The sequence below is a fragment of the Homo sapiens genome, chromosome 12 (assembly GCF_000001405.40).
Source record: "Homo sapiens chromosome 12, GRCh38.p14 Primary Assembly".
Taxonomy (NCBI): Eukaryota; Metazoa; Chordata; class Mammalia; order Primates; family Hominidae; genus Homo; species Homo sapiens.
Window position 1 is genome coordinate 93259287 of NC_000012.12, and position 17927 is coordinate 93277213.

Genomic DNA, 17927 nt, shown 5'->3' on the forward strand with positions numbered 1-17927 from the left:
CCTTTTTCTGAACGTTATCTTTTAACAGTTTCAGAGGATTCACCAAGATGTCCTGTGGATTTGCTGACCAGAGCCAGGTAGACTTCATCCACAGAAAAGTGCACCACATGGGCAGTTGAAGCACAGAAATATATTTTCCTGATTCATGAGGTCAAGTAACATGAAGTGAACAATAGAACTTTGCTGACTCTGTTTTTCTAATTTTATTTTGCCCTTACTAATTTTGGTTTTGGTTTGTTTATAGCCAGTAAATTATTCCCCATTGAGAATTAGTTTTAGGGTCTGACCATTTATGATCTTTGTAAATGTCGCATAGAGATCTAGTCTCTGTTGGGTGAAAGGCTCCAGGGAATTTAGTTTGTTTGCCTTTTTGGTTGAGAATTTGGTTGCTTTTTTTTTTTTTTTTTTTTTTTTTGAGTCAAAGTCTCACGCTGTTGCCTGGGCGGAGCTCAATAGCTTGATCTGGGCTCACTGCAACCTCTGCCTCCTGGGTTCAAGTGATTCTCCTGCCTTTGCCTCCTGAGTAACTGGGATTACAGGCACGCATCACCACACTCAGCTAACTTTTTGTATTTTTAGTAGAGACGGGGTTTCACTATGTTGGCCAGGCTGTCTCAAACTCCTGACCTTGTGATCTGCCCGTCTTGGCCTCGCAAAATGCTGGGATTACAGGTGTGAGCCACAGTGCCCAGCTGGAATTTGGTTTTATGATGAGATCATCGGAGGATCTCTGCAAATGAATTAATAGTTTACATAGAACTTGTTTCTGCTGGGTGAGAGATAACAGAGAATCTGGTTTGTTAGTCTTTTCTGCGTGTTCACCTTTATATTTTGAATGCAAATTATTAAGAGTTTAAACTGCAAGGGAGGAAAAAAATTTCCTCCTCTCCTCTAAGTTCAATGGCTGGGACCCTGCAAATTAAACAATCTGACAAAAGACAGATTAACAAGAGAAAAACAAATTTAATTAAGTATATTTGCACACATAGGAGTTCACAAACAAATGGAGCTTGAGGACATGGTTAGAATTTGCTTTTTTTTCTTTTCCTTTTTTTTTTTTTTTTGAGACAGAGTCTTGCTGTGTTGCCCAGGCTGGAGTGTAGTGGTGCAATCTCGGCTTACTGCAACCTCCACCTCCCAGGTTCAAGTGATTCTCCTGCCTCAGCCTCCCGAGTAGCTGGGATTTCAGGCGCCCGCCACCATGCCCGGCTAATTTTTTTTGTATTTTTAGTAGAGATGGGGTTTCACCATGTTGGCCAGTCTGGTCTTGAACTCCTGACCTCAGGTGATCTGCCCACCTTGGCCTCCCAAAGTGCTGGGATTACAGGCATAGACCACCACCCCGCCAGAATTTGGAGCTTATCTACCATCTTAACAAGAAAGATAAGGTGTGGAGAAGAGATTAGACCAAGGAAAGAGGGTGCTTTTTGGTTTCTTGGAGGGTGGGGGCTGTAAAATGATCATGGGAAGGTGAGTAAGAAATTAGGAAATGTATGGTAAGTAAGGTTGTTTAGTATGGTTTGTTATACAGATGAGTCTCCAGTGATAAGAATTGTCCCTAGTAGTTCTCTTCCTCATATAGAAGAGGGAGACAACTTTACAAAAAAGGGATGTGTATGCCCTGCTTTTAAACAGAAGGGAGTTTTTTCCTGCATCTGCTATTTTTCAATTATCTTCAGCTCAAAATAATCCTTATGCTAAAGTAGCATATTTTGGGGTGACATATTCTGGTCCCCTTCGATACCTACTAGGAAAAAAGCTCTTTGACTGGTGAGTTTTATAAATGTATGTTTACTTTGACTCATGACTGAAAATCTAGAATTAAAACTATAAGCTCCCTCTGTCTGTTTCCACGCTTATGTTTCTGCAATTCAGAAAGGCATTTAAATCTCACATAACAATTTTCTTTTTTATTTATTTATTTATTTATTTATTTATTATTTTATTATTATTATACTTTAAGTTTTAGGGTACATGTGCACAATGTGCAGGTTAGTTACATATGTATACATGTGCCACGCTGGTGTGCTGCACCCATTAACTTGTCATTTAGCATTAGGTATATCTCCTAATGCTATCCCTCCCCCCTCCCCCCATCACATAATAATTTTCACCTCTTGTTGGTATTAATAAATTGGGTTAGAAAATCCCTGAAATTAAAGGAGCTCTATTCTGATTAGCTTATAGAGATAAATAAGTGTTTGTATTGATTGTTTCTAGAATTGCTAGAAAATAAGGAAATCGAACTTCTAATATTTTCAATGTAATTTTTATAGAAAGTAACATGGAAATGTTTTAAGATTGCAAGTTCACATAATTTAGGTAAGTCTTCAGCAACCAAGACTAGTTAAATAATTTTGGTTTAATAAAAACAGCTACAGATTAGCTGATAATCAGATTAGTTAGATAAATTCTGATTTATCAGCATTAAATATAATACCTGCTAGTATTTTAATTCTACTTGGGCATGTACTTCTTAACACAGGTTTCTTGATTGAACAAGCTACCATTACTTCTACTTAATACTTAAGATTACAGAAAATATAAATTTGTGTTTCATTGACTCATTCTCACAATTTTGTTTGCCTCGGGTTATGGCTTGTGCAAACAATGAGTCTGAAAGGCTACGAAAGCTGTCAAATTTTGCTCAATTTTGACAGACTTGTTCCCTTGGTTACTGTTTATTGCCTTCATCTACAAGATGAAGGGCTTTTTGTTTTTCTTATGTAATCGGCGTAGACAGCAAAGATTCTGTGTTTTACTGGAATAGCCTTCAATGGTTTATGCTGAATTTATTATTATGTCCTTGACTATTTAAGAAAACAAAAGTTTCTCAGTTAGGAAAGATCTAAGCCTCCTTACAGTCATGTTACCTTCTATGTTTACTTTTTAAATACTTTATTGTCACTTAGAAATGAGGAGCCAAAGAGTTTTGTTTCAGTTTTTGTTTTGTTTTGGGTTTGTTTTTTGTTTGTTTGTTTGTTTTGAGACGAAGTCTCGCTTTGTTGCCCAGGCTGGAGTGCAGTGGCACAATCTCGGCTTACTGCAACCTCCACCTCCCCAGTTCAAGCAATTTTTCTGCCTCAGCCTCCCCAGTAGCTAGAATCACAGGCATATGCCACCATGCCTGGCTAATTTTTGTATTTTTAGTAGAGACGGGGTTTCACCCCCATGTTGGCCAGGCTGGTCTCGAACTCCTGACCTCAGGTGATCCACCAGCCTCAGCCTCCCAAAGTGCGAAATTACAGGTGTGAGCCACTGTACCCAGCTCCCAAATAGTTTTTTAGACACCTAGATCCGATTCCTGTCATAGTGTTCAAATTGCCTGACAGTGTCTGGTTTTTGCCTCCCTAAAATGGAATTCTAAATATAAAATAAAATGAAGCTTTCAGGATTTTTTTTGCTACTAAAGCTATTTTGAGATTTCCTAGGGGGCCCCTGGAAAATCACAAAGACTTATTTTTTAGCCTTTTGAAAAGAGAGGTGTTAGAAATAATTAGGTTTACTTGCTGGATTACTATTGATGAACCACATGAAAGGCTTGTGAAATCAGAAGAGATGCTCAGCCTTTCCTAGGTTAAATTGGTATATGTTGCATGTTGTTAGTATATTTCAGAAACTGTACGCTATATGGGCATTTTCCAGAGCTTTGCAGTGTCCTCGCCGTCCATGACACATTTCTTCTTATTAGGGCCCTAGTGCTGCTTTGCCATATTAGACAATGACACTACAGTGTTATCACTCATGATTTCAGTTTTGTTTTGTTTTTTTTTTTAATAGAAATGGGGTCTCACTCTGTCATCCATGCTGGTCTCAAACTCCTGGGTTCAAGTGATCATCCTGCCTCAGCCTCCCAAAGTGCTGGAATTACAGATGAGAGCCACTGTGCCTGGCCCAATTTCAGTTGCTTTCTAAGTGTTAACTTGATCACAGCTTTACTTATTTAATTTGAATCTAGTATCTTCTAGGGCAGTGGTTTTCAACTGGGGATTGACATCACTTACATAATTTTACTAACAAACAGATGTCTAAGAATTACTGAGGACCACGAACTCTCTTTACTTGATATTCTTGATATATTTTTGTTATATTCTTACTTAGCAAATTCATGTTATATTATGTTTCAGCATTATTACGTTATATCTCAAGATTTTTTTCTCTGGAAAGATTATGTTCATCCATTTTTATAAATTAGATATAACGTTCACTGTCTTCTTTTGTTGTTGTTGTTGTTTTGAGACAGAATCTCCATCTGTCGCCCAGGCTGGAATGCAGTTGCAATCTTGGCTCATTCGAACCTCCGCCTTCCAGGTTCAAGCAATTCTCCTGCCTTAGCCTCCTGAGTAGCTGGGATTACAGGCGTGTGCCACTACGCCTGGCTAATTTTTTTGTATTTTTAGTAGAGACAGGATTTCACCATGTTGGCCAGACTGGTCTCAAACTACTGACCTCAGGTGATCTGCCAGCCTCGGCCTCCCAAAGTGCTGGGATTACAAGTATGAGCCACCCAGCCTGGCCTGTCTTCTTTAAAAATAGAGCTAATCATTGTAAGTTTTTTTGGTTTTTTTGTTTGTTTGTTTGTTTTTTAGAGGGAGTTTTGCTCTTGTCGCCCAGGCTAGTGTCCAATGGCGCGATCTTGGCTCACTGCAACCTCCGCCTCCTGGGTTCAAGAGGTTCTCCTGCCTCAGCCTCCCGAGTAGCTGGGATTACAGGCTCCCGCCACCACGCCCAGCTAATTTTTTGTGTTTTTAGTGGAGACAGGATTTCACCATGTTGGCCAGGCTGGTCTCGAACTCCTGACCTCAGGTGATCCACCCGCCTCAGCCTCTCAAAGTGCTGGAATTACAAGCGTGAGCCACTGCACCTGGCCTGTCTTCTTTGAAAAAGGGCTAATCATTATGTTTTTAACTATTTTATCTAAAATTTTTTTGAATCGACTTTATTTTCTTTTTGGCATGCCACAGAAGCAACCAAATTTTCTTATCGGTTGCATTTTTATTGGAATAAATTCTTATCAGAACTTTTGCTTTTGAAAATTATCAGTAATACATTAAGCACAGTATTTTAAGCCTTTTGTCATCTAGAGGTAGTTTTTTTGTTTTACTCTGACGCTTCCTTGAAAATGTTTCCTCTTCAACAAAGGACTGTCTCAGAGACCCGTGGAAAAGGACTATGTTGGGTATTTTGGGGTATGTGCTGCTGATGGCATCACTTAAACAATTTTGAGACCATACCAGCAAACTGAGTAAGGATTTCCAGAACTCTAGGCAAGAAACAAATGGAGTCATGAAAATGCTAACCCAAGATCCAGTGAAACAAGAATTAATTACATAGGGCTAAATGAACTGATGAGGAATGATTGTAGTTTATGGTGGGCGGGGGGAGTATTACTGATTTTTTTTCTTTTTCTTTTTACAAAATTATTTTTATTCTTCTTCACAGCATCTGCAGCTGTGAGATTATTGATGTTTTAATATACAGAAGCCCTTTCTTTTTTCTTTTATCTATAACCCATAACAATTTAGTAGACTCTGTTTTTGTAAATGGAAATGAAACATTTATAAATGATATCATATTCTTCCAGCCTAACCCCTCCAGAATCTGGAAACTCTTAATGAACATTCTTCTTTTCATACCAATATAGTTATTTCCGTAGATGCAATAAGGACATATCTGGGACTTAATTTTACTGGGATTTCATTGAAAACATTGGTTATACAACCAAGAACTTGCCTGGAATGTCATATTTGAAAACTATGTTTATTTACTCGTATATCACCAAGTCCTTTTAAGTAACTAAAGTTGTTTTATGGAGTCAAGGCTTACAAAACCATTGGGTGCAGTGGTGCACACCTGTTGTCCCAGCTACTTGGGAGACTGAGGCAAGAGAATTGCTTCAGCCCAGGAGTTCAAGACCAACCTAGGCAACATAGTGAGACCCCATAGTGAGACCCTGTCTTTAAAAAATAAACAAATAAAAAATAAAACGCTTATACAACCCTCTTGAAAAAACTGGCCTGGGACCTGGTTTACAGGGTTTCCAGACTTACTCTTTTTTCATTGAGTTTTTGAGTTTCACGAAGGCATCACAATATATCTTTTTAAAAACAACCCATAATTGGAAACTTAACTAATCAAAATGGGCCACCTCTCCTCATTCATACAAATGAATGGAAGAGATTGGAGCCCACACAGCTGCCAGGCTCTATGCAGGGCACTTGGCACATAATCTACAGGATGTTTAAATTTTTATTTTACTTTATTCTTATTTTATTTTACTCTTATTTATTTATTTTATTTTATTCTTTTTTTTTTCTTTTTTAGAGTTTTTTTGAAAGTCCTTGTCAGACAGGTAATGTGTCAACATCATAACGAGGTTTAAGGGAGGTACAGCTCACACATGAGCATGAAAACCCAATTATCATGCTTATGAACTACAAAAGGATCACAGGATATTTTTGTAAGTGCCTACCCAACAGATCTCCCCTCCTTCTGTGGTACAATGTGTCCAGTGTTGAACTAGTAGCATTCACATTTCCCCACAAGTGTCACGAAAGGGGGACTGTCTCCCAAGTTTCCCCAGCAGTAAAACCCGATTGGTTTAAGGTCTGCAGGGCGGATCTAGTCCTCTTGCCAGTGATTAATTAGACATGACTGTATAACATGGCTGGGAGGTGGGAGCAGAAGATGAGATTCCAAAAGGAAAGGGTTTATGCTCTTGAAAAGAGCTATGTGATGCCTCTGATGAAGCCTATGTTAGTAGAGACATCTGAGAGTGTAGATGAATGCCAATGGCCCTCATGGAAAGAGAGAGAGATGAGAAAAAGCACACTCTTTTTTTGCATCTACATGTGATGTCTGGAATTACAGCAGCCATTTTGTGATCATGAGAGCAGCTGGCTTGGCTAAGGACAAAATTCGTCACACCAAACATGGCAGAGAAGAAAGAAGATTCTGGATTCCTGATAATATTTTTGAGCCACTGGACTAACCAAGACTGGAATTGGTCTTCCTTGGGACTTCTTAATATGTGGGATAGTGAATTTTCACATTGAAGTAAATTTTGAATGGAGTTTTCTGTTTCTTATAGCCAAAACCATCTTACCTGCTACAAATATTTTATTTAATTTCATCTTTACAACAGTCCTATATCTGTGGACATTCTCATTTTATAGATAAAAATCTGAGATTCAGAAAGTTTTAGTAACATGGCCAGGCACAGTGGCTCACAACTGTAATTCCAGCACTCTGGGAGGCCAAGGTGGGGGGACTGCTTAAGCCCAGGAGTTTGAGACCAGCCTAGGAAACATATTGACACTCTGTCTCTACCAAAAAAAAAAAAAAAAAAATTACCTGGGCATGATGGTACATGCCTATAGTCCAGCTACTCAGGAGGCTGAGGTGGGAGGATTGCTTGAGCCCAGGAGGTCAAGGTAGTAGTGAGCTGTGATCGTGCCACTGCACTCCAGCCTATGAAACAGAGCAAGACCCTGTCTCAATAATAATAATAATGACAGATAGAACAACCACACAGAAGATAAGTAAGGAGAGAGAGGACTTAAACAACATAATAAACCAACTAGAGCTAACGGACATATACAGAACACTCTACACAACAGCATATACATTCTTCTGAAGCACATGAGACATTTTCCAGAATAGACTATACGTTAGGCCACAAATTAAGTCTCAATACATTTTAAAAGATAGATATTATAGGCCTGGCACAGTGGCTCATGCCTGTAATCCCAGCACCTTGGGATGCCAAGGTGGGTGGATCACCTGAGGTTGGGAGTTCAAGACCAGCCTGACCAACATGGAGAAACCCCATCTCCACTAAAAATACAAAATTAGCCAGGCGTGGTGGTGAATGCCTGTAATCCAAGCTACTCAGGAGGCTGAGGCAGGAGAATCGCTTGAACCCAGGAGATAGAGGTTGCAGTCAGCCGAGATCATGCCATTGCACTCCAGCCTGGGCAACAAGAGCGAAACTTCATCTCAAAAAAAAAAAAAAAAGATAGATATTATATAAAGCATCTTCTCTAAGCACAATAGGATGAAGTTAGAAATCAATAACAGAAGTAAAACTGGAAAATTCCCAAGTTTGTGGAAATTAAACAATGCATCAATAATCAAAAGACCAGGTGCAGTGGCTCAAGCCTATAATCCCAGCACTTTGGGAGGCCAAGGTAAGTGAATCGCTTGACCCCAGGAGTTCAAGACCAGCCTGGACAACATAGTTAGACTCCACCTCTATTTTTAAAATATATATATAAAATAAAAATAAATACAGTAAAAACAATGAAAAACCAAATAGATGAAAGAAAAAATTGCAACAAAAATTTGAAACTACAGAAGAACAAAAACAAAAACACAACCAACTAAAACTTACAGGACATAGCAAAAGCAGTGCTAAAAGGAAAAACTATAGCTATAAATGTTTAAATTTAGGAATAAGAAAGTTCTCAAATCAACAACCTAACTTTACAAATAAGAAACTAGAAAAAAAAAAACAAACAAAACCTAATGCTAGCAGAAGGAAGAGAATAACAAAGATTAGAACAGAGATTAATGAAATAGAAAATAGGAAAACAAAAGGGAAAATTAATAAAACCAAAAGTTGTCTCTTTGAAAAGATGGACAAAATTGACAAACCTTTAACTAAATGGACTAAAAAAAGAGAAAAGACTCAAATTACTAAAATCAAAAATGAAAATGGGAAAATTACTACCAACTCTATGGAAATAAAAACGATTGCAAGAGAGTACTGTGAACAATTGTATGTCAACAAATAGGGTAACCTGGATAAAATGGAAAGATTATGAGAAACACAAAACCCACTAAAACTAAATCATGAGGAGACAGAAAATATGAATAGACTGATAACTAGTAAGGAGACTGAATCAGTAATCAAACATCTCCCAACAAAGAAAGGTCCTGGACCTGTTGGCTTCACTAGTAAATTCTACCAAACATTTAAACAACTAATACCAATCCTTCTCAAACTTTTCTTTAAAAATTAAAGAGGAGGAAACACTTCCTAAATCATTCTATGAGACTAGCATTACCCTAATACCAAAGCCAAAAACACTAGAAGACTACAAATCGATATCCTTTATGAACATGTGTGCAAAAACCCTCAGCAAAATATTAGCAAACTGAATTTAGCAGCATAGTAGAAGGATTATACACTATGAGCAAGTAGGATTTATTCCTGGAATGCAGGGACAGTTCAACATATGAAAATGAATTGGCCGAGCACAGTGGTTCATGCCTGTAATCCCAAAACTTTGGGACACTAAGGCAGGAGAATCACTTGAGCTCTGGCGTTCAGCCTGGGCAACATAACAAGACCCTATCTCTACATAAGTTAAAAAATTAGCCGGGCATGGCCGGGCTTGGTGGCTCATGCCTGTAATCCCAGCACTTTGGGAGGCCAAGGGAGGCAGATCACTTGAAGTCAGGAGTTTGAAATCAGCCTGGCCAACATGGTGAAACCCACCTCTACTAAAAATACTGAAAAAAAATTAGCCAGGTGTGGACGGGCACAGTGGCTCACACCTGTAATCCCAGCACTTTGGGAGGCTGAGGTAGGTGGATCACCTGAGATCGGGAGTTTGAGACCAGCCTGGCCAATGTGGCGAAACCCCATCCCTACTAAAAACACAAAAAATTAGCCACCCATGGTGGCGGGCACTTGTAATCCCTGCTATTTCGGAGGCTGAGGCAGGAGAATCGCTTAAATCTGGGAGATGGAGGTTGCAGTGAGCCAAGATAGTGCCATGCACTCTAGCCTGGGCAACAAGAGTGAAACTCCATCTAAAAAAAAAAAAAAATTAGCCAGGTGTGGTCATGGGTGCCTGTAATCCCAGACTCAGGAGGCTGAGGCAGAACAATTGCTTGAACCCGGGAGGCAGAGGTTGCAGTGAGCCAAGATCATGGCACTGCACTTCCAGCCTGGGCAACAAAGCAAGATTCTGTCTCAAAAAAATAAATAAATAAATAAACAACAACAAAAAAAGCTGGGCATGGTAGCACACAGCTGTAGTCCCAGCTGGTCGGTAGACTGAGGTGGAAAGATCACTTAAGCCTGGGATGTTGAGCCTGTAGTGAGCTATGACTGTGCCACTTCACTCCAATCTGGGCAACAGAGTGAGACCCTGTCTCTCAAAAAAAGAGAGAAAATCAATCAATGTAATACATCCCATTAACAGAATGAAAGGGTTAAAGAACTACATGATCATCTCAATGGATGCAGAAAAAGCATTTGACAAAATTCACCACCTTTTCATGATAAAAACCTCAACAAACCAAAAACAGAAAAAAGCTACCTCCGCATAATAAAAGCCACATATGAAAAATCTACAGCAGACATCATACTCAATGCTGAAAGTCAAAAAGCTTTTCCCTAAGATGAGGAAAAAAACAAAAATGCCCATTCTCGGCCTGGTGCGGTGGCTCACGCCTGTAATCCCAGAACTTTGGGAGGCCAAGTCAGGTGGATCACCTGAGGTCAGAAGTTCAAGACCAGCCTGGCCAAAATGGTGAAACCCCCATCTCTACTAAAAATACAAAAATTAGCCAGGTGTGATAGCATGCACCTGTAATCCCAGCTACTCTGGAGGCTGAGGCAGAAGAATCACTTGAATCTGGGAGGCAGAGGTTGCAGTGAGCCAAGATCACACTACTACACTCTAGCCTGGGTAACAGAGTGAGACTAAATCTCAAAAACAAAAACAAAAACAAAATGCCCATTCTCTCCACTTCTATTCAACCTAGTACTAGGGGTTCTAACCAGAGCAATTAGGCAAGAAAAAGAAATAAAAGACTTCCAAGTTGGAAAGGAAGAGGTATAAATTATTTCTGTTTGCAGATAATATGATCTTACGTGTAAAAAACTTAAAAAGATTCCACACCAAAAAAAAAAAAAAAAACCCTGTTGGAGCTGATAAATTAATTCAGCAAAGTGGCAGGTTAAAAAGTCAACACACACACACACAAAAAAGTCAACACATAGAAACCAGTTGCATTTCTGTACACTAACAATTAATCTGAAAAGAAAATTACAAAACAATTTCATTTACAATAGCATAAAAAAAAAAAGTAAACCTGGGAATGAACTTAACCAAGAAGGTGAAAGACATGTACAATGAAAACTACAAAACATTAATGAAAAAAAGTAAAGAAGACATAAGTAAGGCCAGGTGCGGTGGCTCATGCCTGTAATCCCTGCACTTTGGGAGGCTGAGACAGGCGGGTCGCCTGAGGTCAGGAGACCGAGACCAGCCTGACCAACATGGTGAAACCCTGTCTCTACTAAAAATACAAAAATTAGCCGGGTGTGGTGGCGGGGGCCAGTAATCCCAGCTACTTGAGAGGCTGACGCAGGAGGATCACTTGAACCCAGGAGACGGAGGTTGCAGTGAGCCAAGATGGTGCCACTGCACTCCAGCCTGGGCAACAGAGTGAGACTCCGTCTCAAAAAAAAAGACATAAGTAAATGAAAGCATATATTATATTCTTATATTCGTGGACTGGAAGACTTAATATTGTTAATATGTCAATGCTACCCAAAGTGATCTACAAATTCACTGCAATCCATATCAAAATCCTTGTGAGGTTTTTGCAGAAATAGAAAGTTCCATTCTAAAATTCATATGGAATCTGAAGGGACTCTGAATAGCCAAAATAATTTTGAGAAAAAAAAAAAGCTGAAGGACTCATACTTCCTGATTTCAAAACATACTACAAAGCTACAGTAACCAAAATAGCATAATACTGGCATAAAGACAGACATATACACCAAAGGAATAGAATGGAGAGCCCAAAAATAAACCCTCTCATATACAGCCAAATTATTTTTGACATAGATGCCAATATTATTGAATGGGAAAAGCCCAGTCTTTTCAACAAATTGTGCTGGGAAAACTGCATATCCAGATGTAAAAGAATGAAGTTGGACCGTTATCTAATACCATATACAAAAATTAACTCAAATTTCATCAAACACCTAAATGTAAGACCTAACGCTATAAATCTCTTAGAAGAAAGCCAAAAGCTACATGACATTGGATTTGGCAACAACTTTTTTGGATATGACTCCAAAGGCACAGGCAACAAAAGAAAAAAATAGACATATTGGACTTCACGAAAATTTTAAATATGTGTGCATCAGAAGACAATATTAACAGAGCAAAAAGGCAACCCACAGAATGGGAGAAAATATTTGCAAATCATATATCTGATAAGGGATTAATATCTAAAATATATACAGAACTTCCAAAACTTAATAACAACAACAAACAACCTGATTTTAAAAATGGGCAAAAAGGCTGGGCGCAGTGGCTTATGCCTGTAATCCCACCACTTTGGGAGAGATCACTTGAAGCCAATGGATCACTTCAGCCCAGGAGTTCAAGACCAGCCTGGGCAACATGGCAAAACCCCGTCTCTACAAAAAATAGGAAAATGAGCAAGGTGTGTTGGTGCATCCCTATAGTCCCAGCTACCTGGGAGGCTGAGGTAGGAGGATCGATTTAGCCCAGGAGGTGGAGGCTACAATGAGCAGAGATCAAACCACTGCACTCCAGCCTGAGGAACAGAGTGAGACTCTGTCTCAAAAAAAAAAAAAGAAAAAAGAGAAAATGATTTGAATAGACATTTCTCCAAAGAACATATACAAATGGCCAATAAGCATAGGAAAAAATGCTCAACAACACTAATCATTAGGGAAATGAAAATCAAAACTACAAGATACCATCACCTCACACCCATTACAATGACTACTATCAAAAAAATGGAAAATAACAAGTGTTGGTGATGATGTGGAGAAACTGGAAGCCATGTACACTGGTAGCAGGAATGTATTAGGTTGGGGCAAAAGTAATTGCAGTTTTGCCACTGAATGTAATGGCAAAAACTGCAATTACTTTTAATGAAATGGTGCAGCGACTATGTAAAACAATATGGTGGTTCCCCTAAAAATAGAATCACTATGTGATCCAGCAATTCCACTTCTGGGTATATACCCAAAAGAATTGAATGTAGGATCTCAAAGAGATGTTTATACAACCATGTCGATAGCAGCAATATTCGCAATAACTAAAACGTGGCAGTAACCTGGGTGTCTATCAATGGATTAACAGATAAACTATGTTATAGCCATAAAATGGAATATTATTCAGCCTTAAAAAAGAATGAAATTCTGACATATACTACACCATAGATGAACTTTGAGGACATTATGCTAAGTAAAGTAATCCTGTCACAAATGACAAATACTGTATAATTCCACTTATATCAGATACTTAGAGTAGTCAAAATCATAGAGACAAAGTGAAATGGTGATTGCCAGGGACTGGGGAGAGGGAGGAATGGTGAGCTATTTCTTTTTCTTTTTTTTTTTTTAGACAGTGTCTCACTCTGTCACCCAAGCTGGACTGCAATGGCCCAATCACGGCTCACTGCTGCCTCAACCTCCTGGCTCAAGCAATCCTCCCACCTTGGCCTCCCAAAGTGCTGGAATTACAAGCATGAGCCACCATGCCCAGCCTACTTTATAATGAGTATAGAGTTTCAGTTTTACAAGATGAAAAGAGTTCTGAAGATGGATGTTGGTGATGGATATACAATATTGTGAATGTATTTAATACCACTGAACTGTACAATTTAAAATGGTTACAATGGTAAATTTTGTGTTATGTGTATTTCAATTGAAAAAGTTGAAAAAAAGAAAACTTTCTTTTTTATGTGTGAGACAGACAGGGTCTCACTCTGCCGCCCAGGCTGGAGCACAATGGCATGATCTCAGCTGAATACAACCTCCGCCTCCCAGGCTCAAGAGAAAAGAAACATTTCTTAGACCATAGAGCTTAGTGGTTAAGAGAAAACTTTGGTGTCAGCAGACCTGGGTTTAAATCCTGCTTCTGCATGACCTCAGGGCCTCTTTAGGGCTCCTTTTCTCTATGCAGAATGAAGATAGCATTACTGTAACATAAGGTTGTGATGTAGACTCAGTGAAACTATGTATGTAAAGTACTTCTGCATGCCCAGAAAAAGAATGATGGCTATGGCAATTATTAATATTATCATGCCTCTCATTGTTACCCTAATCAGTAGGCAGCCAGCATTTTGTTTTTGTTTTTGTTTTTGTTTGTTTTTCGTTTTTTTGGTTTTTTTTTTTTTTTAGATGGAGTCTGGATCTGTCGCCCAGGCTGGAGTGCAATGGCACAATCTAGGCTCACTGCAACCTCCGCCTCCCAGGTTCAAGCAATTCTCCTGCCTCAGCCTCCCTAGTAGCTAGAATTACAGGCACCCGCCATCATGCCCAGCTAATTTTTGTATTTTTGTAGACAGGGTTTCACCATGTTGGTCAGGCTGGTCTTGAACTCCTGACCTCAGGTGATCCGCCCACCTCGGCCTCCCAAAGAGCTGGAATTACAGGCATAGCCACCATGCCCAGCTAGCAGCCAGCATTTTGAATGGAAAGAGAGCATCTTGTTCCCAATACCACAGAGAGGTGTCATCAATTTCACTTCAGGCCTCTTAGAGCCTCCCTGTCCATGCTAAAACTTGGAGCTCCTGCTCTTCCTGCCCAGCCACCATCAAAAGCAGCCCAACTCCCTGGGAGCACCTTTGTCTCTGCTCACATTACCTCCCTCCCACCATTCCCAGGGCGCTGAGAGCTTTGATGTTCACGTGGCTGCATGGCAGGGGCAGGAAGATAAAATCCCACTTGTTCTCTCTCTCTACAATACCACCTTTCCGCAATTTAGAGGGGGACAGAGATAAAAGAGCAGGTTTTTTCTCTTTTTCTTTTCTTTTTTTTTTTTTTCAACAACAAATGGTGGTTTCTCTTTACCAGCCGCTACTTCAGAGCCATGCCAACATCAAAGAGCATGAAATCAGTGGAAACTCAAGCCAGAGGACTTCTGTCCCACCCTGGGGTGGTGTGTCGGGGTGGGGGGAGCTTGGCTGTTTACAAAAGAAACAGAAAGTGGAGAGGAGAGGAGGGAACTGTGTGCAGAGGAACATCCCACTGAGGATGGCAAAAGTTTGTTTTCTTAGCATTTCCCCTATGCCACATTAAGCTTGCCAAACAGATGGGACTGAGACAAGGAGGGATGCGGGAAAAAGAAAGCTCAACTTGTCTCACGAATAAATCTTGAGTTGACTTGACATCTTCTAGTCCAGAGGGATTAAGGTGGTGACAGTGGGTTGGCCTGTGTATGTGAGTATTCAGGTGGGACTCACAAGTCCGATGACATTCTCTGCTCTAAATCCATGTGACTGTGTGCAAGGGCAGAAGGAAAAGAAGAAAAGGGTCTACTTGCATAACTAGGAGGCCTGTTGTTTTCCAGAGTGTGCCCCATGTGCCAGGTCCTGTGCTAAATACCTCACATGTAGCAACCATGGGGTAGGTAGGCTTGCTTTTCCCACTTAACATATGTGAGAACTGAAGTTTAAAGAGCTGAAGTCCAAAAGGAGAAGCAGGATCTCCACTCAGATCTGCATCAAAATGTGTGTTCTTGGCCAGATATTATAAAGCTGCTTCCCACGGGGATTGAGTGTAACTTTGAAAAGTGACAAACAAGATACCATTGTAGGGCATCAGTTATTGGTGGGAATGTGATTCCAAAAAAAGATATGTTAAAGTCTGAACCCGCAGTCCAGTACCTGTAAATGTGAACGTATTTGGAAACAGGGTCTTTACAGATGTAATCAAGTTAAAATGATTTATTGGGGTCAGGAGAACACTAATCCAATGACTGGTGTTTTTATTTGAAGAGGGAGATTTTGCCACAGATCCTCACAGAGGGAAGATGGCCGTGCGAAGGCGGAGGAGGGAGCTGGAGTTGTGTTGCCTTAAGTGAAGGAAGACCAAGTATGGCGCAGCCCCCAGAAGCTGGGAAGAGGCCCGGAAGGGTCCTCCCCTAGAGCCTGCGAGAGCGTCTCATGCCAACCCCTTGATTTTGGACTTCTAGCCTTCAGAATTGTGAGGGAATAAGTGTCTGTTGTTTTAAGCCACCCAGTGTGTGGTACTTTGTTACAGCAGCCCTAGCAAACTAATATCACATCTGCCTTTCTGAGTTTGGAGAGAGACCAAGACAGAGAGACAGAGAGTCAGAGAGTGTTGTGGGGTGGGAATAAGGCAAGACTTCAATTTTCAGACAAATATCGTAAAGATTATCTCTAGCATACTGGTCTGGGGAATGAGGCAAAGATGCCAGCCACCAGAGAGAGAGACAGAGAGAGAAATCGAGGGGGGCGGTGGGGTGAAAGCAGTGAAACAAGGGGTTTCACTGAAGTAAGGGGACCAGGAAGAAAGAGAAGGGAGCTGGAACCCAAGTGAGACAGGTCAGCTCCTTGAACATGAGGAGAGTCAAAGAAGGTTCCAAGGTTCCCTGCCAGGAGGGGAGGGGTTGAGAAAGAGCAGGATGCTGCCACCGTCCACGCCTGAGGACGACCTTGCCCGCGCCAGCGCCCCTGCCTTCTCACACCTCAACAGGGCTCTTGCATCAGACTCTTCTTCAGTTACTGCACTCAGGGAACATGTATTTAGCACTCACAAAGTGACAGGCACTGATGGGGAGAGGTGGGGAGGACTGCCAGGGTCAGAGAGCCGCACTAAGGACCCAGGGAATGGAGAGCCCTATGACATCCTCAGCCTGGACTGCTCTTCACTTCCCAATCAGCCTAGAAAATGTCCGCTCAGATTTCTAGGCCCACTCAACTTGACTAGGGCCTTTACCACCTTGCTGGGCCCATGATACCTTCCGTACACCTTTAATGCTTGGTAGCTGTATTGTTTCTTTCTACCTGTATCTAGATCTAGATTTCAAAGAAAGCAGATCCAGAAGCTCACAGTCTAATGGAGAATTCATATATCTCAATCTCTATCTAGACCTACATATAGACCTAGATCTAGATAGAGACATACACGTTTTTCTCTTTTTTTAGGGAAAAAAAAAAAAAGGCCAGGTGCAGTGGCTCATGCCTGTAATCCCAGCACTTTGGGAGGCTGAGGCGGGTGGATCACTTGAGCTCAGGAGTTAGAGACCAGCCTGGCCAACATGGTGAAACCTCGTCTCTACTGAAAATACAAAAATTAGCTGGGCATGGTGGTGGGCACCTGCAATCCCAGCTACTTGAGAGGCTGAGGCAGGAGAATCACTTGAACCCATGGGGGCGGAGGTGCAGTGAGCAGAGATTGTACCATTGGATTCCAGTCTCGGAGACAAAGCGAGACTTCCTCATTAGACTGTGAGCTTCTGGAAGGTGGGGCCAGCATCCTATTCATCTCCATCTAGTCTGTGCTTTTGTGGAGCCTGGTGCAACTTAGTTGATCAGCAAATAGTTGACAAATGAATGTTCTGAGTATTTTAGAACTCAAACAACAAAAAATGTAAATAATTTTAAAAAATAAGCAAGTGACATAAATGCACAACTCATGAAATAAAATACAAATGGCTCCTAATCGCACGTACTAGTCACGTCGATTCCAGTCATAATAAGAACGCAAGTTAAAGCTATGCTGAGAAAATATTTTACCTCTTAGCCTGGCAACATGTCGTATCAGGAGGCTGGGGAGGGAGCCGGGCACAGGCAGGCTCATACCTGGAGTGTGAAATGGTGTGTCCCTAAGGAGGGTAATTTGGCATCGTCAATCAAAATTACAGATATGTTTATCTTTAGTCCAAAAATCTCACTTCTGCAGGATACCTGCTGAATATCTTACAGATCTGCAAACATAAAATAGCTATATGTATAGGGTTACATTGCTACATTGCTTGTAACAACAAGATATTTAAACCAAATCAAAGGCCCTTCTCTAGAGAACTGGGAAGATAACCTGGGTAGGAGCGGGGACCAGCGTGGATAGCTGGCGAGAGAGGAAGATCTCTCAAGGCGTAACTTTCATATCAGGT

At 40.7% G+C, this 17927-nt stretch overlaps 1 long non-coding RNA gene and 2 other non-coding genes across 3 annotated transcripts in view, besides 1 other annotated feature; 1 reads left to right on the plus strand and 2 right to left on the minus strand.

The window, feature by feature from the left end:
* Window positions 1-17927, minus strand: part of LOC643339 (uncharacterized) — a 373979-nt gene that overhangs the window by 255529 nt on the left and 100523 nt on the right. The gene's annotated exons all lie outside the window — the stretch shown is intronic.
* Window positions 1493-1693: a silencer, noted in NCBI's record as "peak1893 fragment used in MPRA reporter construct". NCBI's record gives its function as "represses an SCP1 promoter by STARR-seq MPRAs in K562 erythroleukemia cells {active_cell/tissue: K562}" and the evidence as "EXISTENCE:reporter gene assay evidence [ECO:0000049][PMID:32103011]".
* On the minus strand, window positions 6343-6446 carry LOC124903102 (small nucleolar RNA U13). The gene has a single exon (XR_007063639.1). It is a non-coding gene; the product is annotated as a small nucleolar RNA U13 (small nucleolar RNA).
* Window positions 6731-6810, plus strand: LOC124900325 (small nucleolar RNA SNORD74). Its single transcript, XR_007063629.1, has one exon. It is a non-coding gene; the product is annotated as a small nucleolar RNA SNORD74 (small nucleolar RNA).